Source organism: Homo sapiens, chromosome 2 (genome assembly GCF_000001405.40).
Source record: "Homo sapiens chromosome 2, GRCh38.p14 Primary Assembly".
Classification (NCBI taxonomy): domain Eukaryota; kingdom Metazoa; phylum Chordata; class Mammalia; order Primates; family Hominidae; genus Homo; species Homo sapiens.
Window position 1 is genome coordinate 30,502,552 of NC_000002.12, and position 25,134 is coordinate 30,527,685.

At 38.5% G+C, this 25,134-nt stretch overlaps 1 protein-coding gene across 11 annotated transcripts in view, besides 2 other annotated features; it reads left to right on the forward strand.

Moving 5' to 3' along the window:
- The window catches only part of LCLAT1 (lysocardiolipin acyltransferase 1), a 196,980-nt gene that overhangs the window by 55,306 nt on the left and 116,540 nt on the right, over positions 1-25,134 (forward strand). For 10 of the 11 annotated variants that reach the window (NM_182551.5, XM_005264245.4, NM_001304445.2 and 7 more), the window contains one exon: positions 23,036-23,204. The exons of the other annotated variant lie outside the window; for it this stretch is intronic. In NM_182551.5, the coding sequence (NP_872357.2) occupies positions 23,036-23,204 (169 nt within the window). The remainder of the gene's footprint in view (positions 1-23,035; positions 23,205-25,134) is intronic. 11 annotated transcript variants of the gene reach the window in all.
- Positions 13,345-13,845: an enhancer, noted in NCBI's record as "H3K4me1 hESC enhancer chr2:30738762-30739262 (GRCh37/hg19 assembly coordinates)". NCBI's record gives its function as "activates a minimal SCP1, AML or CMV promoter by ChIP-STARR-seq in primed H9 embryonic stem cells {active_cell/tissue: H9 hESC(primed)}" and the evidence as "EXISTENCE:reporter gene assay evidence [ECO:0000049][PMID:30033119]".
- Positions 13,846-14,346: an enhancer, noted in NCBI's record as "H3K4me1 hESC enhancer chr2:30739263-30739763 (GRCh37/hg19 assembly coordinates)". NCBI's record gives its function as "activates a minimal SCP1, AML or CMV promoter by ChIP-STARR-seq in primed H9 embryonic stem cells {active_cell/tissue: H9 hESC(primed)}" and the evidence as "EXISTENCE:reporter gene assay evidence [ECO:0000049][PMID:30033119]".

A 25,134-nucleotide genomic window follows, 5' to 3' on the forward strand; every position in this document is an offset into this window, starting at 1 on the left:
ACCACTGGTCTGCTCTCTGTCTCTGTAGCTTTGTCTGGTCTGGGCATTTCATGTGAATGAAATAATATACCATGTGGCCATTAGTGATTGGCTTTTTTCACTTAGCATAGTGTTTTCAAAGTCCATCTATGTTGTAGCATGTGTCAGTACCTCATCTCTCTCTTTTTTTTAGTATAATATCTACTGATAGATATACCACTTTTGTTTATCCGTTCAACAAGTGAAGTCTATTTGGGTTGTTTCCTCCTTTACTATGAATAGTGCTGCTATTGATGCAGGACAGGTGAGCCCCCAAATTGGGGCTTAACCCAGGAGAATTCTTGGCTTTACCCAGGAAAGAATTTAAGGGTGAGCCAGTGACAGCAGTCATTTATTGAGCAGTACTGTTCCTTGCAGAACAGGGCTAACTCACAGGCAGTGGGCCCAGAGTAGGCAACGTATGGTCTCTTGGCAGTTGCATTTATACTTACTTATACCTACTTTCAATTACATGCAAATTAAGGGGCAGGTTATTTAGAACTTTCTAGGAAAGGGGCAGTAACTTCCAGGCCCTTGCCAAGGAAGGGGTTGGTAACATCCAGGTCATTGCCATGGCATTTATAAACTGTCGTGGCGCTGGTGGGAGTGTCTTATGCTAATGGACAATGGGGGCAGCTAGGGATTGCTTTCCTTGCCATCTTTAGATGCCTGCCTGTTTTTTCACTTCATCTTGTCTGGGCCAGATCCTGTTTTGGCCAGTAGGGTTGTGACCAGAAAACAAGTCCTGCAGGTCTCCTATCTCACTATGAACATTTATGTGCCTGTTTTTGTGTGGACATATGTTTTCATTTCACTTGGATTTATATATCTAGGACTGGGCTTGCTGGATCATATTGTAACTCTATGTTTAACATTTTGAGGACTATAATAAGTAATTTGAAAAGTAGTCCCTTAAATAACAGCTAGGTGGAGTATACTAGAGTTACCCTAATCATTTTGAAATGATTTCACATAATAGAGTTCCACTTAGCATGGGTGTATGTGGTTTTAACTTTTACATCTTGAAAGGAAACTTTGTGTAGTAACAGGAAATTGTTGAAATATAGTGTACTTGCTGTTTGAGAAGAAAAAAATGGTGATATTTTTAAAAGTTTGCTGCTAATAATTCAGATTGTTTGAAACAGTTTGGAGGAAACAAAACCAAACAGAAATCTGAAACCATGGAAAAACTTCCTTGTGACTAAACCAATCACTGTGCAGTGTGTACCACAAAAAATAATGTCAAGAAGTCCGCTTCTTTATGTCTTTGCATTTTGTCCTAGCTTGACTGAGCACTGTTCTCCCTCAAGACTCAGGCCTTGGTTGTATATTAATTGCTTTTCTCTGTTTTAGTTGATTTTCCTTAGCCTTCTAAGATCCCCTTCTAATGGAAAGAACGCTTAGCCGGTCACAGGAGATGTGAGGTCTTAGCCTGACTGTCACAACTGGCCTCTTTGAGTTGTGAGCAGAGAAAATTTCTGCTAGAACTTTCTTCATGCTTAAGGGACTTACGTGTGTGTGTGTGTGTGTTTATATATGTGTGTGTATATATAAACACATATATTACACATATATACACAACATAAACATATACAACATATTACACATAATATGCATTACATATATAACATATTACATAACATAACATATATTACATGTAACATATATTTATGGGCTCATATTTTGTGTAGATGGATTTAATTTCAGTAAACCTGCTTTCTGACTTCATCACTTAGTTCTTTTATTATATTAATAATTTTTCTGGCTGTGTCTCATGAAGGGAAAAACAAAACATGAGCTTAAACTTCAAATGGGAAGAGATAAATGCTACTCAGTAAACCAAATGATGGTTTTATTAGGCTCAGGATCTTTGGTGGTGCCAATGTAGTTTTAGTTTACTAAATACTTTTATCATTCCTATCTCAATTTATGTTTTCAGTCTTTCTAACTTGTTGTTGAAAATTTACTTTGGGCTTAATGTATGGCAAGCAATCATCTTCCTAAGGGGTATGGGTTGTTTCTACCTTAACATTAATCTTTTTGCTTTGATTATGGGATCATGGAAAAATAGCAGTTACTGACAGGCAACTTACTTTGGCTACAGCTAAGCTACTTCTTTTTCCTCTCCCCTTCCTTTTCTCTCTCCCTTCTTTCCTTTTAACCCTATAAGTAACAAATGGAAATGTTCTCTATGAAACATTAGAGAAAGGTTTAATTCCCTTTGACCACCATCCTCAGTCACAGCTGTCCCATCCCATAGAGGCAACCGCATGTGTCATTGGCAGGTATTCTTCTAGACAGATCTCTGTGCATTTGTAATTATTTATATAAACCATATGGCATTAAGCCTTTTGGGGGAGGGTGTGGTTTCCTTCCTTCCAAAAATGGTATTGCATTTTCTCTTAGCAATACATCTTGGAGAGCAGATCAGTTTAGAAAATACAGCTTGACTGCATTCTTTCCAGCTGCTGCATATTGTGTCATAGTATTTGGATGTACCATAGTTAATTTAGCTCTCTCCCCATCAGTGGACATTAATGTTTCTTCTTTTTCTGTTACAGACAATGCTGCAAGGAAACATCTTTGTACATTCAGTTGAATATTTCTCTAGGGTAAATACTAAGAGGGAATTAATGATATTCAGAATAGCAATACCTACTTATCAGTTTGCCCTCTAAACTGGGTATACCACTTGATACTCCCTCCAGCTGTGAAGGCAAGGACACCAACAATGATTTTTAGAATATCAGGGGCAAAACTTTTTTTTTTTTTTTTTTTTAACAATCTACAGGAGAGGGGAATGGAGTTTTATTGTTTTAATTTGCATTTTCTTGAAAATAGTGAAGTCGAACATTTCTTTGTATATTTATTGAGCATTTGTATTTTCTTCCTATGAACAGCATATGTCTAATTAGATGATTTATAAAATATTCAGGTTAAATTATTTTATGCATGTAACATTTTTGGGTGACTATTGTCATAACATACATATAGAGAAGTACATAAATCACAAATTTCAGTTTTAATAAAGTGAATGCACCCTGTGTAACCAGCAGCCAGTTAAAGAAACAGAGTATTACCAAAATCTTAAAAGCTCCCTGGTGCTTTCAGTTCCTATACCTGCTCCACACCTCCCAAGGATAACCATTACTCGTACTTGTAACGTTATAATGTAGCTTATCTGTTTTTGAACTTCAGATAAGAAGAACCATACAGCATATACTTGGCTTCTATGTATTATCTTGAATTTTAAGCAAGATAATTATATCAGGGTTTGGAGAACTGTGAATATTTAATTCACACTAAACCTTTCAGTAAACCTCAAGAGGTAAGTAATAAGAGATAAGTTGTGTCATTTTGAGGTAATCCTAAACCACCTTTATTCTGGTTTAAGAACTCTCAGACTTCCCCCAGGGAATTACCAGGCTTGTTTATTAAATCCATTAACGGTTCAGAGTCCTTCCTTGCTTCATTTTGGGTACATATAACTGAAGTTTGGCCCCATTCTGCTCTTTAACTGTCCTGTTGTGTTTGCTCAGAATTGGTGAACTGGGCTTTTATTTCTCCTAAGTTCTCCCTAACTAAAAAGCTTGTTATCTTGTAACTTCTTTTTGTTCCTAAGAAAGTATTATTCTTTTGTTCTGTTTCGGAAGAATGAAACTGTGTAGTTTGTTCCTTTCCTGTTGTCTGTTTGTTTTTTCCAAACAGATAAAGGTTTTTTCTTTTGATGATTTGTTTATTAAAGGAATATACTTTTCTGTCTTTGGAATATTTTTAACATAAATTTTTAAATATTTCTAATGGTTTCTCAAAACCGTACTATAATAGAGACAGTGTTTTAAAATTAATAAGTAAAGATGAGTAAAGTCACTAATGGTAACATTCTATTTATTTTTAATTAATAGTCGCTTCCTAAAGGAATTTAAAGTTTTTTATAATAAAAGACACGTGATAATGCTATTAAGAATACAAATAAAAGATTGAAAGAGGAGAAAGAGATAGTAATAGCTATAATCTTTCTTCCTGGAATTGAATGTTAAATTTAGCTATGAGCCTTTGAGACTCAAAAGGAAAACAAATACAGTTCTCATTGGGGGAATAAAGAAACATACCATTTCTTTAGGCAGGACAGTTTATGTTACTAAGTTCTGAAAGAAAATTACATGGATCCTTGTAGATTGCACAGAAAGGCTTGCATACACTCTTTAACAGCAGTTAGAAAATGCAGACATGTTCATCAGAATGAGGCTGTGCAAATTAGCATCTATCCATAGATTTAAAAGAAATTAATTAGCTCATAAATATTTCACTAACGTTTATGGAAAAAAACAATCAGTTTGACTGTGTCTGGTTGTGAAGCTTACAAGAAGAGTGGTGCATAAATAATGAACATATTTCAATTCCTTCAGATTGCAGAATAATCTCAGTAATCAGGTTCTGATTATTTTAGCTGTCTTTTAAAATATTTCTATTTTTATTGCTAATGATAATTGTAATAATGACTGTTATTGTATATGCATATACTATATATGCAATAATTGACGTTAGTGTTCACTTTAATTTTATGTATTTGATTTTGTCATTTGAATCAAAATCAATGTGTTGCTTATAGTTGTCTTGGAAAAATTATAAAGTTGTCTGATATATTTGTTTTAACTGACTCCCAAGGATTGCTTTTCTAGTAGAGTATTTGATTAGAGATTACAACAAAAAATAATTTTAACAGGGATTAACTGATGTCTTTTCAAATTTTTTATTAAATATTTTTATTTAAGTTCAGGTTTACATGTGCAAGTTTGTTATATAGGTAAACTTGTGTCATGGGGGTTTGTTAAACAGATTATTTTGTCACCCAGGTATTAAGCCTAGTACCTGTTAGTTATTTTTCCTGATTGACTCCCACCCTCTACCCTTCAGTAGGCCCCAGTGTCCCCTCTGTGTGTCAATGTGTTCTTAGCCTTTAGCTCCCATTTATAAGTGAGAGCATGTGGTATTTGGATTTCTGTTCCTGCGTTAGTTTGCTTAGGATAATGGTCTCCAGCTCCATCCATGTTCCTGCAAAGGACATGATCTTATTCTTTTTTATGGCTGCATAGTATTCCCTGGTGTATTTGTACCACATTTTCTTTATCCAGTCTACCATTGATGGGCATTTAGGTTGATTCCATGTGTTTGCTATTGTGAATAGCTGCAGTGAACATACACATGCATGTGTCTTTATGATAGAAGAATTTATACTTCTTTGGGTATATATCCAGTAAGGGGTCTGTGGGTTTTTAGGTCTTTGCAGAATTGCCACACTGTTTAACACAATGGTTGAACTAATTTACACTCCCACCAGTAGCATATAAGCATTCATTTTTCTCTGCAACCTCGTCAGCACCTGTTATTTTTTCTTTTTAGTAATAGCCATTCTGACTGGTGTGAAATGGTATCTAATTGTGGTTTTGATTTGCATTTCTGTAATGATCAGTGATGTTCAGCTTTTTCCTCATATGCTCGTTGGCCACATGTATGTCTTCTTTTGAAAAGTGTCTGTTCATGTCTTTTGCGCACTTTTTAATGGGTTTTTCTCTTGTAAGTTTAAGTTTTTTATAGATGCTGGATATTAGACCTTTGTTAGATGCATAGTTTGAAAAAATTTTTTCCCTTTCCGTTAGTTGTCTGTTCACTCTGTTGATAATTTCTTTTGCTGTGCAAAAGTTTTTAGTTTTCTGAAATCTCGTTTGTCAGTTCTTGCTTTCGTTGCAGTTACTTTTGGTATCTTTGTCATGAAATCTTTGCCAGTTCCTATGTCCAGAATAGTATTGCCTTCCGGGTTTTTATAGTTTTGAGTTTTATATTTAAGTCTCTAATCCATCTTGAGATGATTTTTTGTATATCGTGTAAGGAAGGGGTCCAGTTTCAGTCTTCTTCTAGAACCATTTATTGAATAGGGAGTCCTTTCCCCATTGCTTGTTTTTGTCAGCTTTGTTGAAGATCAGATAGTTGTAGGCGTGATGCCTTATTTCTGGGTTCTCTATTCTGTTCCATTGGTCTATGTGTCTGTTTTTGTACCAGTACCATGCTGTTTTGGTTACTGTAGCCCTGTAATATAGTTTTAAGTTGGGTAGCATGATGTTTCTAACTTTGTTCTTTTTGCTTAGGATTGCCTAAGCAAAAAGTGAAGAGCTCTTTGGGCTCTTTTTTGGTTCCATATGATTTTTAAAATAGTTTTTTTCTAGTTCTGTGAAGAATGTCATTGGTTGTTTAATAGGAATAGCATTGAATCTATAAATTACTTTGTGTAGTATGGCCATTTTAATGATATTGATTCTTTCTATCCATGAGCATGAAATGTTTTTCCATTTGTTTGTGTCATCTCTGATTTCTTTGAGCAGTGTTTTGTAGTTCTCCTTGTAGAAATCTTTTCACCTTACTGATTAACTGTATTCCTAGTTATTTTATTCTTTTTGTGGCAATTGTGAATGGGATTGGGTTTTTGATTTGGCTTTCAGCTTGACTATTGTTGGTATATAGGAATATTAGTGATTTTTATACATTGATTTTGTATCCTGAGACTTTGCTAAAGTTGTTTATCAGCTTAAGGAGTTTTTGGGCCAAGACTTTGGGTTTTCTAGATATAGGTTCATGTCATCTGCAAACAGGGATAGTTTGACTTCCTCTCTTCCTATTTGGATGCTCTTTATTTCTTTCTCTTGCCTGATTGTTCAGCCAGGATTTCCAATTCTATGTTGAATAGGAGTAGTGAGAGAGCATCTTTGTTTTGTGCCAGTTATCAAGGGGAATGCCTTCACTTTCGTCCATTCAGTATGATATTGGCTGTGGTTTTTGTCATAGATGGTTCTTATTATTTTGAGGTATGTTCCTTAAAAGCCCAGTTATTGAGAGTTTTCAACATGAATGGGGTGTTGAATAGTATAGCTGTCCAGTGGGAATATATTTTGTTTCTAAATTCACCATGTGTTGTCTCCATATTTCAGGATTAGGTCAAAGCAGAATACTTTTTTTTTTTCTTTTTAAGGCAGAGTCTCATTGTCTCCCCCAGGCTGGAGTGCAGTGGCCTGATCACTGCAACCTCTGCCTCCTGGGTTCAAATGATTCTCCTGCCTCAGCTTCCCAAGTAGCTGGGACTACAGATGCATGCCACCATGCCTGGCTAATTTTTGTATTTTTAGTAGAGTGGGGTTTTGCATGTTGGTCAGGCTGGTCTCAAACTCCTGACCTCGAATGATCCACCCGCCTTGGCCTTTCAAAGTGCTGGGATTCCAGGCATAAGCCACGACGCCCAACAAAGCAGAGTGCTATATGACAGATAAAATCAGTGTCATCAGCTGATGTGGAAGCCAAATGTGGCAGGGAGAGCAGGAATTTTATTAGCACATGGTCAAGAAGCCAAGTACAGATTAGGATTTGTGCCAGGTTCACCTGGACACTCTATTCTTGACTCAAACAGATGGTTTGTTTAGTAGCAAGGATTTTGGTGATAACAACTTTCAGAGAGTCTTCCTTTTGTGCCATCCTCTCAGAATTTGGACCGAATGCCTTCTCTATCTAATGTATAGTTGTCACCCTGAAATCTCCCTTTCAGGATCATCCTTCTTGACCTCTCATCTATGATGATCTCTTACTTGCTGTATTTCAGATCTCCCTTAGTCTTTGTTTACTTCTTTTAGTGGAGCCCATTTTCCAGTAGCTTCTTTTTAAAAGATTGTATGGGAAGTCACTTTTACACCTGGCATGTCTGACAGTGTTTTTCTACCAACTACTCTAACACTTGCTACAGGGACGGGTTGGAAATAATTTTCTTTAGAATCTTAAAGTTTTTGTTCTGTTTTTGTCTTGCTCCTGGTATTGGCTGCTGAGATGTTCAAAGCTGGTCTAATTTTTAATCCTTTGTATGTAACCTGTTTTTTCCTTTCTAGAAGGTTTGTGGAACGTTCTTTGTCTCCACTCTTCTGTAAGTTACAGTGGTATTCCTTGGTGAACATCTGTTTTCATCCATTATCTTTGCTATTAGTAGGCTCTGTTAATGTGGAATGTCATTTTCTCCGGTTCCGGGGAATTTTTTTGAGATTGTTGTTGCTGATTTCCCCCTCTCCAATTTCTCACAACTCTTTTTGGCCCTTGTATTACTGGCATATGGGACCTCGTGTCTTGGCCCTTTCATATATTCTTTCTGCTTTCCATCTCTTTATCTTCTGCTGGGCTTTTTGGGAGATTTTTTCTCAACTTTATTTTCTAACTCTTTGGTCGTGTATAATTTTTGCTAATCATTTTTGCTGTTTTAAACTTTCAGTAGCTCTTTTATTCTCTGGATATTTCCTTTCTTCATTTTATTTTCCCACAAGAACATGTTATTGTTTCCTGATTGCAGTATTTATTGTCTTTTTGAAAATGTTAAAGATAGTTTTCTTTGAAGTTTTCTTTTCCCCTGAATAGTTTATTTCCTTCAAGTATACTTTTTTTTCTGTTTAATTTAGTCTCTAATGTCATGTTAGAGTGTTTGCTCAGAAGTCTCATTATCTGTTCCTAATAAAAAATGGGTGATTTAGAAAGCCAGTAGAGGCTTGCACGTAGGTGAGGCTTGTGAACTTTGGGCTTTACTGAGGGGTGATTTATGTGGGCTGTTTATTAGGGAATCCCTCAATGTTTCTGTATTTTCGAACTCCTGACCTCAAGTGATCTGACCGCCTCGGCCTCCCAAAGTGCTAGGATTACAGGCATGAGTCACCGCGCCTGGCCTGTTTCTGTATTTTTGTCTTTCCTCATAGCCTGGTCAGACATCCCAGAGAGTACACTCCTGTCTTCTGCCTAGGACTGTGCTGTTCAATACTGTGGCCACTACCCACATGTAGCTATTTAAATTGAAATATAATTAAGTTAAAAATTCATTTCTTCAATGGCACTAGCCACATTTCAGATGCTCAATAGCTACATGTAGCTAATGGCTGCAGTTTTGGACAGCATAACTAGGGAACATTTCCATCATTGCAGAATATTCTATAGGACAACTGGCATAGGACCAAAGATCTTGTTGCCAGCCATCTGAGAGCTCATCCAGGGAAGATGGTCTGAGGTTTTAGCATTCAGGATTCAGCATGTATATGGTCACTTAATCCCACTGTTCTTAGAGTGGTGACCATGCCCTAAACTGTGCATTTCCTAATTGGGAAACTCTGTTTTACCTTCTCTAGAGAATAGACATGCAAGTTTATGCTGCGGTAGGAGAGGGACAGTTACCCAGAGGTGCAGAGAGAGAAGGGAATCTAGGAATCCACCTGCCCCTCACTCATTACCTAATCCTCTTTATTTTGGCAAACTGCCATTCATCTCCATTTGCATCCAGCAGTACCTGATGCTTCCGCCTCCTAGGCCTTAGGAGGATTCTGTGGGTTTGTTTTCAACTTTTTCCTCTGCTGGCTTACACTTTGTCTTTGCAGGTCAGCCAGGATAGTCAACATTTGGCTTTCTGCTTTCCAGCTTTTAAAATGTTGTTCTTTTTTTGGTTATTCTTTGTAGGTGTGGGATTTTTAGTGTGTTTTTTGAGAGAGCACAATTAGATATTTCATCTTAATATGAAACTCTTCAGACCTTTTTAGTTTTGTTTTTAGTTTTTTGGAATTCTTATTTTATTTCATGACACATTTGTTTTTATCAAAATTAATAAATTTATGTAAGCAAAAATAGAAAAAATTAACCACTGTATAATGTATATATAAAAGGTTATCATATTCTAGATAATGCTTTGTAACTCCTCATTTTCCTTATGTTGATATTGTTCTGCTGGATGTCTTCTCTTTGCCCTCTGGACACGCTCTCCATTCTTTTCTTTTGTCTGCCTCAAGAGACCCAGGGGGCACACTTTTCTCTTATTTCCAGTTGGGTGAGGTCAAGGGGAAGGAAGCCCTCGAAGGAGATAAAAGGGTGGATGGAGATTAAGGAGAGGATATTTATCTCCAGATAGCCTCTTTGTGGCATAATCTTGAGTTTACTATGCCCCTCTGTTGAAATCAGACCTATTAATACACCTAGAAATACATGTACTCACATACACAAATATACATAGATGTACACATTTTTAAAAAATTTGGCTTAAGGCAAAAATGGGATCATGCCATCTATTATATTTTGCAATCGGTTTTATTTACTGAATGTCAAGGATACCCAGTCATATCAGATGATGTGAGTTTCCTTATTCTCTTGAATGCCTGCTTAGTATTTCATAATAAATGTTAAAATAAATGTTCCCCCTTCTCTTATTGGTAGGCTTTATTATTGCCCACTGTTTATTATTACAAATTATACTTACATGAACAATGTTGTATCCATTTCTCTGTGTACTCCTATAAATATTTCTGCGTGATAGAGTTCTTGAAATATAATTATTAATTAAAAATGCACATTTCTGTCTTGACAAGTACTGCCTTATTACTAACTTAAAGGGTGGTACTTAATTTACAGTCTTAGTAGCAGGATAGAAAAATACATTTGTATCTATAGCCCTGCTAATGTTAAATATTGTGAATATTTTCAGTTTTTCTAATGAGATAGAAGGAAAATGGTACTTTAATTTATATTTTACTGATTACTAATGAACATATTTCACAAAAGATGTGTTAGGGTTTTTCACTGGAAAATTTGTTGAATCTAAACTGAGTTTAGATTAATTATTAATGTGTAGTTATATATAAATATACTGTTTGCTACATTTAACTATATGTATTTAAATATATAAATATCAATAAATATATGTATATATAAGTCAGCACAAGTTAATTTTCATTTTCCTGCATTTTTGGAAAAAATGGGGAATTTCTAGGGTTCCCTAGTTACTAGAGTAAAAAATGCAAGAAGTGCAACTTTAGTATAATGTAGTTGAGTGGTTTTGTGTGTACTTTATTGACCCCTAGTCTCATGAATGAATGAGTTTGCATTTGCTTAAACAATATGCTTAATTCATTATATGCTTTTATTATTCATTATTTACTTTTTGGCCTTTAAACTCTCTGCAGTTTTGGATTCTTTTCTCTGTGAAAAGAAAATATCTTGGGCCCCCCAAATCACTAAGCTAAAGGAAGAGGTCAAGCTGGGAACTGCTTAGAGCAAACCTGCTTCCCATTCTATTCGTAGTCACCCCTCTGCTAACTGAGATAAATACATATCTGCTTGCCTTCTGTGGAGGGGCTAATCAGAAACTCAAAAGAATGCAACCATTTGTCTCTTATCTACCTATGACCTGGAAGCCCCCTCCCTGCTTCGAGTTGTCCCGCCTTTCCAGATAGAACCAAATGTTCATCTTACATGTGTTGATTGATGTCTCATGTCTCTCTAAAATGTATAAAACCAAACTGTGGTCTGACCACCTTGGGCACGTGCCTTCAGGACCTCCTGAGGCTGTGTCACGGGTGCCTGTTCTCAACCTTGGTAAAATAAACTTTCTAAATTAACTGAGACCTGTCTCAAATTTTGGGGGCTCACAACTGCATTTTCTGAGAATCTCCTTGGTTATAGGTTCTCTTAGCTCTCTCAATATAAACAGTGTCAGGGACTCGTTAATGGAACTAAATCTTTCATTCCTTTACTTGTAAGTACTACTGATAAATCAGCAACTTGCTTTTGAGGCTTTTGTTTGGATGAGGTGAGAATGTAAAGTGCCTATTTTAGGACATACTTGACATTGTCAAGGGACATAACAAGGTCCTTTTGAACCTTCACATTTACAAATCTATTGTAGCATATCACTTCCCCCAAGAAGTGCTTATGAAGTAAGTAGAACAGAATAAAGGCTTTTTGAGATTAGGATACTAGACAGTTGGCCAGAGTCATTAATTACTACCTAAATGGTTTGTTTTTTGACATCAGCCTTGCAGTGTTCACAATTCAGTTTTGAGTTTCAGCAGATTACTTCCATGTTATGACCTTTGGATTATTCATGAATAGTTGAATCTCTAGATGTTAAATATGTAAATACCAAGAGCCCTCTGTAAAGTTCCTGATAGGTATTCGGTGGTCAAAAGGTAGCCTATATTTAGAATTTCTGTGTTAGTAGAGGCCCCAGAGAGGTTTTCCCCTAACCTCCTAACTTTATAAGTGAGGTGTCCAGGTTAAGTAATGTGGTTGTGATCCTCTGGCTGTTGAGTGTTGGAGCTGCATCACAGACCTCTGTGATACCAGCGTCTGTCAGTCCTGGGATTTTTGCCAACAAGTCCCATGCACTCTCTGTTTGGATCCAGAGCAGGCTCTTAACAAAATCAATCTGTATACTGATTGAGTTCATGTTTATATACATTTCACTTTTGAAACGTTTATATACATTTCACTTTTAACATTTATCCTAAAACATGACTCATATGCCTTAGATATTTTTCCTCCACCCCTAGTGACCTGGCAAATGTGGTTTTCTTGGCCATCCTGGCCTGGGTGTGTGTACTTTCTCCCTCAGGCCTATGTTGTTGTAACCCCCGCTCCCCCACTGCCCCCATTGTATACCTATACCTCAGTAATATGAGTTTAAAAAGTTTTCTGATTAAGCCATGCTGTTTCAAATTTCTGTGACTCTGTAGGTTATTGCCTGGAGTATTCTCTCCCCTCCCACAACCACTTTTCCTCCAAGAGTCTAAAGCCTTCTTTAATCCCTGTTAGCAGAGTTCATCTTGTCTACTTTGATCTACCCTTAACACCTGTTGCATACCTCCTATCCCTCTATTACAGCATGTATCACAGTGAATTGCAATCATTTATTTTCGTACTTAGCTTCCCCATTAGACTCTGAGAGTAACGCTAGTTGCTAACACTTGACTTGTTATGTGAATAAAATAACTAAGGAGATTCTATGAAAATGTTTCCTTCCTGAGCAAGGAACTATAGGTATCCTTAATGGAGTCCATTAATCTTTGTCAGGGAGTGTCCTCCCACACTGTCATATGTTAACTTAAAGAATAACGTACACAGTTATTAGTGAGGTTATTAAGATTGTTGTTAATTCGCTGAAAGGAAAGTGGTCATTTGGAAAAACTTGTTAGGTTACACTTGAAGTAGGCATAGTTTTTCAGGATTATCTACAGTTCACTTCTCTATCTCTGTTATTTGTCAATAAAATGTTATATGCCCTTTTAAAACTGCACTTAGTTTTCAAATGTCTTTTTAAAAACAGTATCAGTATTATACAAAGAATGCACAAAACATGATACTAAATTGCAGTGTTTTTAATTACTTTTCAATCATGGCGTTTTTTATTTTAAAGGGTTTTTAAAGATTAAATATTTAATTTGTCAGTTATTTAACCCAATTTTCTTCCAGCAGAAGCTGGCAACTCCCATTCCTTGCCCTTCCCCAAGTTTTGGTGTGCTATACATTACGTTAGGTATTGAGGGATAGTAATGAGAGACAGGACTAGCTGGATTTCCTAGGCCGACTAAGAATTCCTAACCCTAGCTGGGGAAGGTGACTGTATCCACCTTTAAATATGGGGCTTGTAACTCAGCTCACACCTGACCAATCAGGTAACAGAGAGCTCACTAAAATACCCGTTAAGCTAAAAGCAGGAGGTAAAGAAATAGTCATCTATCGCCTGAGAGCACAGGGGGAGGGACAACTATCAGGATATAAACCTAGGTATTCGAACTGGCAGTGGCAACCCCCTTTGGATCCCCTCCCATTGTATGGGAGCTTTGTTTTCACTCTATTAAATCTTGCAACTGCACACTCTTCTGGTCCATGTTTGTTAGGGCTCAAGCTGAGCTTTCACTCGCCGTCCACCACTGCTGAACGTCGCCGTCGCAGACCCGCCATTGACTTTCACCGCTCTGGATCCGGCAAGGTGTCTGCTGCGCTTCTGATGCAGCAAGGCGCCCATTGCCGCTCCTGATCAGGCTAGAGGCTTGCCATTGTTTCTGCGCGGCTAAGTGCATGCATTCATCCTAGTAGAGCTGAACACTAGTCGCTGGGTTCCACGGTTCTGTTCTGTGACCCACGGCTTCTAACAGAGCTATAACACTCCCCTCGTGGCCCAAGGTTCCATTCCTTGGAATCCTTGAGGCCAAGAACCCCAGGTCAGAGAGCAAAAGGCTTGCTGCTATCTTGGGAGCAGCCTGCCATCATCTTGAGAGCTCTAAGAACAAAGACCCACCAGTAACATCTGGTGGCCTGTACAGGGATTCTCCAAAGCCCTGAGTAATACTGGACCACTTTGACTTGCTATTCTGTCCTATCCTTCCTTAGAATCAGAGGAAAATACTGGGCAGCTGTTGACCATTTAAAAATGATTAGCATGGCTGCTGGACTTAAGACTCAGGTGTGAGGCTTTCTGGGAAAAGGCGAACAGCCCCCATCTGAGTTGGGAGCATTGGTCTGCCTGGAACCAGCTTCCGCTTTTACAATTTTCCTGGGGAAGCTGAGGGCCGACTAGAAGCAGAAAACTGTCATCCTGAATTCCCGGCATTGGCCAGTCGAGATCATGGTGCAGCCAGAAGTCTCTACTCCACAGTCGCCCATGCAGGCACCCCTACCTCTCCTTTTGACCCATACCTCCTGGGTCCCAACCACCACTTTCTTGAAAGTGTAGCCCCAAAATTCTCCTTACCTCTGAATCTACTTCCTCCAGTCCCTGCCTCCTAGGTACTAATGCTTCAGACTTTCACTCCCTCTCCCAGGTATTAGAGCAAGTTGTATCTCCAAAGGGATCTAGAGAAGCTCTACACTGCATCCTTAGGCACCTAGGCTATGAACCCAGGGAGTCTTGCCCCTGGTGTCTCTCCCAATTTAGGTATACAGCCCTCGACGTGGGTAGTTAGGTGGGACCCGTTCCTCACCACCCTTGCCAGGGCCCCAAATTTGTAAATGGCTAGGAGGATTGCTCTCCCATTGTGTAAGATGCTCTCCTCCCCCAATTTCTACCCAGCTTACCCCCACCTGCAATGCAATCTCCAAGCCTCAGCTCCTTGGCCAGGGCCTTAGAACTGGTAACCCAGTACTTTAACAACTGGAACTGGGTCTACAACAACATAATAGATCAGGATGAAAGCAAATTGAATAAATTAAAGGGAGGAGCATATTCCTATAGTGGCAAATGGGGGCAACGAGCAAATGTCCTTCTGCTGTGTTCCCAAAATCCATCTACCAAAGGGAAGGGAGAAAGAGAGGGGAAAAAGAGAGAAAGAGGTAGAGAAACAAAGGGAGTCAGAGAGAGACAGAAAGTCAGAGAGAGAAAGAAAGAGAAGTAGTAAAGAAAAAAGTGTACCCTATTCCTTTAAAAGCCAGGGTAAATTTAAAACCTATAATTGATAATTGAAGATCCTCTCCGTGACCCTGTAACACTCCAATACCACCTTGTTATCAGTGTAAACAAGGGTGTAGCCAAAAGCGCTGAGGCCACTGACAACCCGTAGCCTTCCTATCAAAAATCCTTAACCCAATAACCCACAGATGGCTCAAATGCATTCAATCTGTAGCAGCAACTGCTTTGCTAGCAGAAGAAAGTAGAAGAATAACTTTAGAGGAAACCTCATTATGAGCATACCTCACCAGTTCAGAAATACCCTAAGTAAAAAAGGCAAAAAGGTAGCTTACTGACTCAAAAATCTTAAAGTATCGGGCTGTTCTTTAGAAAAAGATGATTTAACATTAACCACTGAAAATTCCCTTAACCCAGCAGATTTCCTAACGGGATTTAAATCTTATTACTATACAAAGTTCTAACCAGACCTAGGAGGAACTTCCTTGAGGACAGGACAATAAATAGTTCCTCCCGGGTGATTGAGGGAAAAAAACACAATGGGTATTCAGTAATTGATAGGAAAACTCTTGTAGAAGCAGAGTTAGAAAAATTGTCTAATAATTGGTCTGCTCAAACGTGCGAGCTGTTTGCACTCAGCCAAGCCTTAAAGTACTTACAGAACCAGGAAGGAACCATCTATACCAATTCTAAGTTAATTTAGACTAAACAAAGTCTTAGTAATAGCAAAGGACCTAAAAGCCCAAGGCCATGCAATAGCCCCTGCAGTACTCCAATTTTAGGAGTGCAGAAGCCCAACGGACAGTGGAGGTTAGTGCAAGATCTCAGGATTATCAATGAGGCCGTTGTCCCTCTATACCCAGCTGTACCTAACCCTTATACTCTACTTTCCCAAATACCAGAGGAAGCAGAATGGTTTACAGTCCTGGACCTTAAGGATGCCTTTTTCTGTATCCCTGTACATCCTGACTCTCAATTCTTGTTTGCCTTTGATGATCCTTCGAACCAACATCTCAACTCACCTGGACTGTTTTACCCCAAGGGTTCAGGGCTAGCCCCCATCTATTTGGCCAGGCATTAGCCCAAGACTTGAGTCAGTTCTCATACTTGGACACTCTTGTCCTTTGGTATGTGGATGATTTAGTTTTAGCCACCTGTTCAGAAACCTTGTGCCATTAAGCCACCCAAACACTCTTAAAGTTCCTCGCCACCTGTGGCTACAAGGTTTCCAAACCAAAGGCTTACCTCTACTCACAGCAGGTTAAATACTTAGGGCTAAAATTATCCAAAGGCACCTGGGCCCTCACTGAGGAACACATCCAGCTTATACTGGCTTATGCTCATCCCAAAACCCTACTAACTGTTGGATGTGCCTCACCCTGCACTTCAGGCCATACATTTCAATCCCTGTATCTTTAACCTCCTTGTTAAGTTTGTCTCTTCCAGAATTGATGCTGTAAAACTACAAATCGTTCTTTAAATGGAGCCCCAGATGCAGTCCATGACTAAGATCTACCGTGGACCCCTGGACCGGCCTGCTAGCCCATGCTCTGATGTTGATGACATCAAAGGCTCCCCTACCGAGGAAATCTCAACTGCACAACCCCTACTATGCCCCAGTTCAGCAGGAAGCAGTTAGAGTGGTCGTCAGCCAACCTCCCCAACAGCACTTGGGTTTTCCTGTTGAGAGGGGGGACTGAGAGACAGGACTAGCTGGATTTCCTAGGCCGACTAAGAATTCCTAAGCCTAGCTGGGGAAGGTGACCTCACCCACCTTTAAACATGGGGCTTGTAACTCAGCTCACACCTGACCAGTCAGGTAGTAAAGAGAGCTCACTAAAATGCCCATTAGGCTAAAAGCAGGAGGTAAAGAAATAGTCAATCATCTATCACCTGAGAGCACCCGGGGAGGGACAGTGATCAGGATATAAACCCAGGCATTCGAACCAGCAGTGGCAAGCACCTTTGGGTCCCCTCCCGTTGTATGGGAGCTTTGGTTTCACTCTGTTAAATCTTGGAACCACACACTCTTCTGGTCCACGTTTGTTACTGTTCGAGCTGAGCTTTTGCTCACCATCCACCACTGCTGAATGCCACCTTCTCAGACTGGCCATTGACTTTCACCCCTCTGGATCTGGCACCGTGTCCGCTGCGCTTCTGATCCGGGGAGGTGCCCATTGCCGCTCCCGATCAGGTAGAGGCTCGCCATTGTTTCTGTGCGGCTAAGTGCGCGGGTTTGTCCTACTCGAGCTGAACACTTGTCTCTGGGTTCCACAGTTCTCTTCCGGGACCCACAGCTTCTAATGGAGTTGTAACACTCACCGCATGGCCCAAGGTTCCATTCCTTGGAATCCGTGAGGCCAAGAACCCCCCAGGTCAGAGAGCAAAAGGCTTGCTGCCATCTTGGGAGCGGCCCACCACCATCTTGGGAGTTCTAAGAACAAACACCTGCCAGTAACAGTAAGATAAGAAAGACATAAGGCTATCTCACTAAGTTTGTATAAATTCTAAAATTCAGAATAAGTTTTGTATGAGGTATTAAAAATTTAGTTTATAATTGTAACATCTTTATTTTATAGGCTATTTAAAAATAGGTGTATATTTAACTACAGATGTAATACATGGCTTGAAAAGGAAGCGTAGTGTAACATTTCAGACTGAGTGTGGACTCTGACACCAAGTTACCTGGCTTAAAGTTCCAGTTTTGTTATTTACTAGCTGTGTAGCCTTAAGTAAGTTCCTTAACCCCTTGCTGCCTCAGTATCGTTATATGTAAAATTAAGGTAATGAAAATACCTACATTATGAGATTGCTGTGACTGGTGAACAGGTCGGCATGTAAAATATATGAAACAGTGCCTGAAATATTTTAAAAGCTATATACATTTTAGGTGTTACTATAGTTGAAATAATCCAGAAAATTAGAATTCCCCGTATTATAAGAGAATAGTAAATATTGTCAGATTTTTATATACATAGCATAATTTTTTAAAAATTTATTTAAAAATCTACAAACAGTAAAGTTCACTTTTTTAAAAAATATACTTTCTATGGATTTTCACAAATGTGTATAGTCTTGTGACTGTCAGAGATGTGTGAACTGGAACAAATCCATCTTAAATAGGAGCTGGGTAAAATGAGGCTGAAACCTACTGGGCTACATTTTCAGACAGTTAAGGCATTCTGAGTCACAGGATGAGATAGGAGGTCACCACAAAATTCGGGTCATAAAGACCTTGCTGATAAAACAGGTTGCAGTTAAGGAGCTGGCCAAAACCCACCAAAACCAAGATGGCGACAAGAGTGACCTTTGGTGGTCCTCACTGCTACACTTCCACCAGCACCATGACAGTTTACAAATGCCAGGGCAATGTCAAGAAGTTACCCTATAAGGTCTAAAAAGGGAATGCATGAATAATCCATCCCTTGTTTAGCATATCATCAAGAAATAACCATAAAAATGGGCAACCAGCAGCCCTCAGGGCTGCTCTGTCTGTGGAGTAGCCATTCTTTTATTCCTTTACTTTCTTAATAAACTTGGTTTCAGGTTGCACCGTGGACTCACCCTGAATTCTTTCTTGGGCGAGATCCAAGAACTCTCTTTTGGGGTCTGGATCAGGACAGCTTTGCTGTAATGTGACCTAACTAGGAAATAGAACAGTTTCCTCAACCCCCTAAACTACTTCTTCTTTTTTTTTTTTTTTTTTTTTTTTTTTTTTTTTTGAGAGGGAGTCTCACTCTGTCACCAGGCTGGAGTGCAGTGGCACCATCTTGGCTCACTGCAACCTCTGACTCCAGGTTCAAGCGATTCTTCTACCTCACCCTCCCTAGTAACTGGGATTACAGGCACGCGCCACCATGCCCAGCTAATTTTTGTATTTTTAGTAGAGATGGGGTTTCCTCATGTTGGCCAGGATGGTCTCGATCTCCTGACCTCGTGATCTGCTCCCCTTGGCCTCCCAAAATGCTGGGATTACAGGCATGAGCCACCGCTGGACCAACCCCCTAAACTTATATTGTGTTGTTTCTTTGTAGTCAAACCATCTCCCTACTTGTAATCTTTGCCAACCGCTGATCTGTTTCCTTATCCTTTGGGTTTGCCTTGTCTGGAATGTCATATAAATGAAATAATCCAGTAAAAGATTTTAAAATCATATCTTTTGAGTCTGGCCTCTTTCATTCAGCATAATACATTTGAGATTAACTCAACATGTTGCATGGATCAGTAGTTTGTCGTTATTCTGAGTAGTATGCCATTGTGTGGATGTACTACGGTTTTGTTTATCCATTCTCCCTGACTGACATTTGGCTGGTTTCCAGTTTTTGGTAATTATGAATAATGCTGCTGTGAATAATTACGTATAGGTTTTTGTGTGAATATACATTTTCATTTGTCTTGGATATTCAGTAGAATTTCTGGGTTTTATTGTAAGTGTATATTTAGGATTTTAAGAAACTACCAAACTTTTCCAAAGTGGCCATCCCATTTTGCATTCCCACCAGCAATGTTTGCAAGTTCTGGTTGCTGCATATCCTTGTCAGCTCCTGGTATTGTCAGTGGTTTTATTGTTTTAAAATTTTTTTTTTTAGCTATTCCAAATAAGTGTATAGCTAGCATAATTTGGAACCAAGTTTGTCCATCAAACTCTTGAGACTTGGAAGAAGATAAAGAATAGGGCTGGATTAAATGCAGAGTCACATAGGAGCTCATAAGGAAGAGATGGAGAGACCATCAGATTTGTGAGAGCTTTGCAATTTCTGTCATATTCACTGTTGTAATCCCCAGATGACTAACATAGTGCCTGGCACACGGTAATTGGGATATCTTTGTATGTTTATTGAATCATTGAAAATCAACAAATGATTGAAAGGGAAGGAATAGAAGTAGGATAGAAGTAATTTTAGATTAGATTTGGTCTGAGTAATCCCAGTATATTCATGTGACACACACCTTTCTACCTGCTTAAGTCTGAGTTTAGAGACATATTTCAGGGCTAATTTCTGGCCCCTTCGCAGGAGAAAGAGAGCATGATATAGCAGAAGAAGCAGTAAGCAGAAAAGATTTGATGCTACTAATTTGTTGTGTGGATTTAGGAAAGTCTTCTTAACTCTCCTGAGCCTCAGCTTCATCACTGCATAATGAAAATATTTTATTATATGATAGCTAATTTATTTTTTTTCTGTTAATCACATCAAATCAGAAATTGGTGAGGAAGAAGCATGCCAGAGCCTTGATAAGGGAAGCATTATATATGGATACAACGTGAAGTGTAGCTCTGCAGGGAGTTGAGGGGTGAGTGTTAAACAGAGCTAGCTAATCACTAATTGGCAGAAAAAAAAACAGTAGATAGAAAACGGTAGTTACAGGGTTTCAAACAGAGCAGCAGCGTTGCAGGACTGGGGGGCGGGGTGGGTGTATAAAAGGAAGTAGGCATTAACAATACCAAATTAAGATGTTCGTAGGTTTTTTTTTTTTTTCTGGGGAGAAGCTAGCTATAGTGTCATCAACGCAAAGAGGAGGACCTGAGCCTCAGAGAAAACAAAGTTGAGGATAGGTGGTAACACAGACCACTCTAGGCCCCATGTGTGAGCTCTGGGAATTGTTCAGCATGCTGCTTTCCAGTGGCCTTTTTCTCTACCATTATTACTCCGTTACCCCACTTCTTTAAAGTTTAGGTCTAGAGTTTAGCAAAAAGCCAGCTCTTAGTTGATATTTATTCAGTTTGTACTTTGAAGGATTTTGTACACGTACTGTCAAGTATCAGTAGAAATTTAAAAATAGTCGGCTGGGCACAGTGGCTTACGCCTGTAATCCCAGCATTTTGGGAGGCTGAGGCGAGCAGATCATGAGGTCAAGAGAACCAGACCACCCTGGCCAACATGGTGAAACCGTGTCTTTACTAAAAATACAAAAATCAGATGAGTGTGGTGGCGCGTGTCTGTAATCCTGGCTACTCCGGAGGCTGAGGCAGGAGAATCGCTTGAACCCGGGAGGCAGAGCTTGCAGTGAGCCCAGATCGCACCACTGTACTTCAGCCTAGCGACAGAGTGAGACGCAATCTCAAAACAAACAAACAAACAAAAACTTAGTAGTCAGTCTTGATTGTGTGTTTTAAGGGATTTGACCTGTTTTGTTGTTTGTCTGTCTGACATTTTTCAAAAGCACCATGACGTTTGAAAATGTATTCTGTTTCCTGTTGTGATTCTTTTAAAATATTCAGAGGTCTTGATCTCTCAGATACCTTTTTGCTATATAGATTATAAGGCTGTTTTTTTTTCATCGTTTTAATGTTTCTAAAAATTTTATTCTGAGGCAAAACACAGTTTTTCTCTAACATAGTTTAGGTTGTAAAATCAAATGTTTATTCATTTTAGACTGTGTGTTTCCAACAAGCATTTATTTTAAAACATCTGTATGATGTTCTGGCTATGAGGACCCCCTACAGTAATCCTTTGGAAATAGCCAGTGAAGAGTCTAAGTTCTACTTAATCCTTCAACTCATAAAGAGTCAATTAAAGACCAAGTACCCAAGATGTTATTTTCAGATTCTAATATAAAGAATTAATATTTCTGGATTTTAAAAAATTTCAATGTACTCTGCTAACTTGTCATTGTTTTTAGGTGTATAGTAGTCCCCTCCTTAACCACAGTTTTGCTTTCCATGGTTTGAGTTACCCACAGTCAACTGTGGTTTGAATGTTATATGGAAAATTCCAGAAATAAACAACTGATGGGTTTTAAATTTGTGTGCCATTCTGAGTAGCAGGATGAAATCTGATGCCATGCCTCTCTCGTCGCATCCAGGACGTGAATTATCCCTTTGTCCAGTGCATTGATACAATATATGCTATGCTACCTGCCTCTTAGTCCCTTAATAGCAGTTTCGGTGATCAGATTGACTGTCGAGGTATAGCAGTGCTTGTGTTCAAGGAACCTTTATTTTACTTAATACTTTATTAATAATAGTTATTAATCTCTCACCACGCCTAATTTGTAAGTTAAACTTTATCATGGTATGTATGTAATGTATATGTAGGGTTTAGTACTATCTGTGATTCAGGCATCTACTGGGGGTCTTGGAATGGATCCAAAGTGGGGACCGTTGTACTCAACTTAGGAAACTCATCTGTAGTTTTTAGTCAATTGCTTCTACTTCTGGGTAGGAAAAAACTCTGGAATATTTTATGAGTTTGTGTTAGATAACACCTTAGAAAAGAAAATATATGGTTTTATGTTAAAAAAAAAAGGCTTCTTAAACTAGATAACTCTTTTTGGAGGTCAGATATTTGCTCTGTTGAGAGTATCAGTTTCTTTTTTTTTGAAACTGTCTCATTCTGTCGTCCCAGCTGGAGTGCAGTGGTGCGATCTTGGCTCACTGTAACATCTACCTCAGCCTCCCACGTAGCTGGGATTACAGGCACACTACCGCAGCTGGCTAAGTTTTGTATTTTTAGTAGAGATGGGGTTTCACCATGTTGGCCAGGCTGGTCTCGAACTCCTGGCCTCAAGTGATCCACCTGCTTCAGCCTCCTAAAGTGCTGGGATTGCAGCGTGAGTCGCCGCACCCGACCAGAGAATATCAATTTCTAATGTACTGGCAACTTGTTAGACCAGTAGAGCATGTAGGAGGGTCACCTCTTTGAAATTCAGACTCTTATATTGTTTCTTAGAGCCTTTCTGTAGCCCTAAAATTAGTGATCATTCTATGCTCCATCATCCTGAAATTGAATTCGAGCCGTTAAATGTATAGTAACAAAATATATCCTTTTTTATATCTTTCAGAATCATGGTGTCATGGAAAGGGATTTACTTTATACTGACTCTGTTTTGGGGAAGCTTTTTTGGAAGCATTTTCATGCTGAGTCCCTTTTTACCTTTGATGTTTGTAAACCCATCTTGGTATCGCTGGATCAACAACCGCCTTGTGGCAACATGGCTCACCCTACCTGTGGTAAGTTACACACCAGAGGAGACTGTCTGCTTGTACTAGAGTGCTCCCCACCCCTGATAGATACCTAAATCCATGGATGTTCAAGTCCCTACAGTATTTGCACATATCCTAGGCACATCCTTCTGTATGCTTTAAATAATCTCTAGATTGCTTATAATACCGACTACAACGTAAATGCTATGTAAATAGTTGTTATTGTTAGGGAATTGTATTGCTTAGGGAATGACAGGGAAAAAAAATCTGTGCATCCTCAGTACAGGCTTAGCCATCCTTTTTTCCCATGAATATATTTGATCCATGATTGGTTGAATTCACAAATGCTGAACGCAGGGATGTGGAGGGCTGCATGTATTTTGCTGTGTTCCATTGGGCTTCTTAGATAGATAGGTTGGTTGGTTTTTATATTTTTTTAACTGGGAAATTTTAGACTGTTATTTTTTTCACATTTTTTTCTGCCTTATTCTCTCTCTCCTCATTTTGGGACTACAATTATATGTATGTTAGATTGATTGTCTTGTCACGTATGTCACAAAGGCTCTCTTCCTTTTTTCTTCCCCTGTATTTTTTCCCTGTATTTTTCATATTGAATGATTTCTGTTTATCTGTTTTCAAGCTCAATGACCCTTTCTTCTATCATCTTTAATCTGCTGTTTTGTTCATCTAGTGAATTTTTATTTAAAATACTGTAAGTTCTGGAATTTATTTTGGGTTCTTTATTGGTTCTGTTACTTTCTTGAGATTTCTCATCTATTTATTAATTATAGCCATATTTTCCTTTAAGTCAGCTGGATGATGTCTAGTACCTTTTACTCTGTCAGGGCCAGTCTTTTAGGCAAAATTTCTTCTTGCTTTTTTAATATAAGTATGCTTTGTTTTGTGATTGGATTGCAAGAGTAGTTGGCAGGATCTCTTAATGTTCATCCAGCAATTTTTTATTGTCTACCACGTACCTAGCATTTTGCTAGGATGCAGTGATGAACAGGACAGATATGATCTCTGTCCTTGAGGAGATAATAGTCCTCTACCTAAAATATCTTATCCTAATTGTAGATTTACAGAGCTTGACTAATTTCTTTTCTGGCTTTCATGTGACTAAAAGTCTTTTTCTTTTTTTAGAGGACAGAAGTTGACTTCTAAGACTATTAATTTTTAGAGTTACATTTTTAAATTAGCTTTAAAGATATGAAGCCCAGTGTTTCATTGCAACCCTAAACATACCATTTGCCATAAAATACTCATTTTTTGTTGCTGCTTAACCACTATCACTCTCTATTTACAAGGTGGGTATTTCTCTATATACATATATTAAGTAAAATAAGAATACTGTTCAGTTTATGTAATATTAATCATCACAAGTAGATACTTCTAAAACGTCATCTACAAACTGTATGTTAAGTAATTTTGCTGTCATCATAAAATCAGAGACATTTCCTATTGAAACATTTGACTGTTTTCATGTCATTTATGTAACTATTTTTAGTGTTTGTTTCATCATCTGTAAAATAAAGAAATTGGAGTAAATGATCTTTGAGATCTATTCTGGATTCAGAATTGTATATCTGATTGTAAAGCAAACATTCAGAGGTAAAAGATTTTTTGTAACAGTCATGTATTGTTACTGTACTCCATTTTCTAAATGTCATCAGTTTTCTATAGTATATAATCCTTTAATTATGAACCACACATTTTTGTTGAATCTTTCTGCCAAAACCTTGAGAGTTCTGAGAATTGGTAAAAATTACTACAGTTGTAATGCTTTACAGTGTCCAGTCACTCTAATTTTTGGAGAGCGAGCATAAGCAGAGTGCTTATTTTCACAGACATTGCAGACAGATATTTGGTTTCACTATTGGCCTTCCCACTTTCTAGTCATTTGAACTTGGCTAAGCTCCTTAGCCTCATTGTAAGCTTTTGTTTCTTCATCTCTATA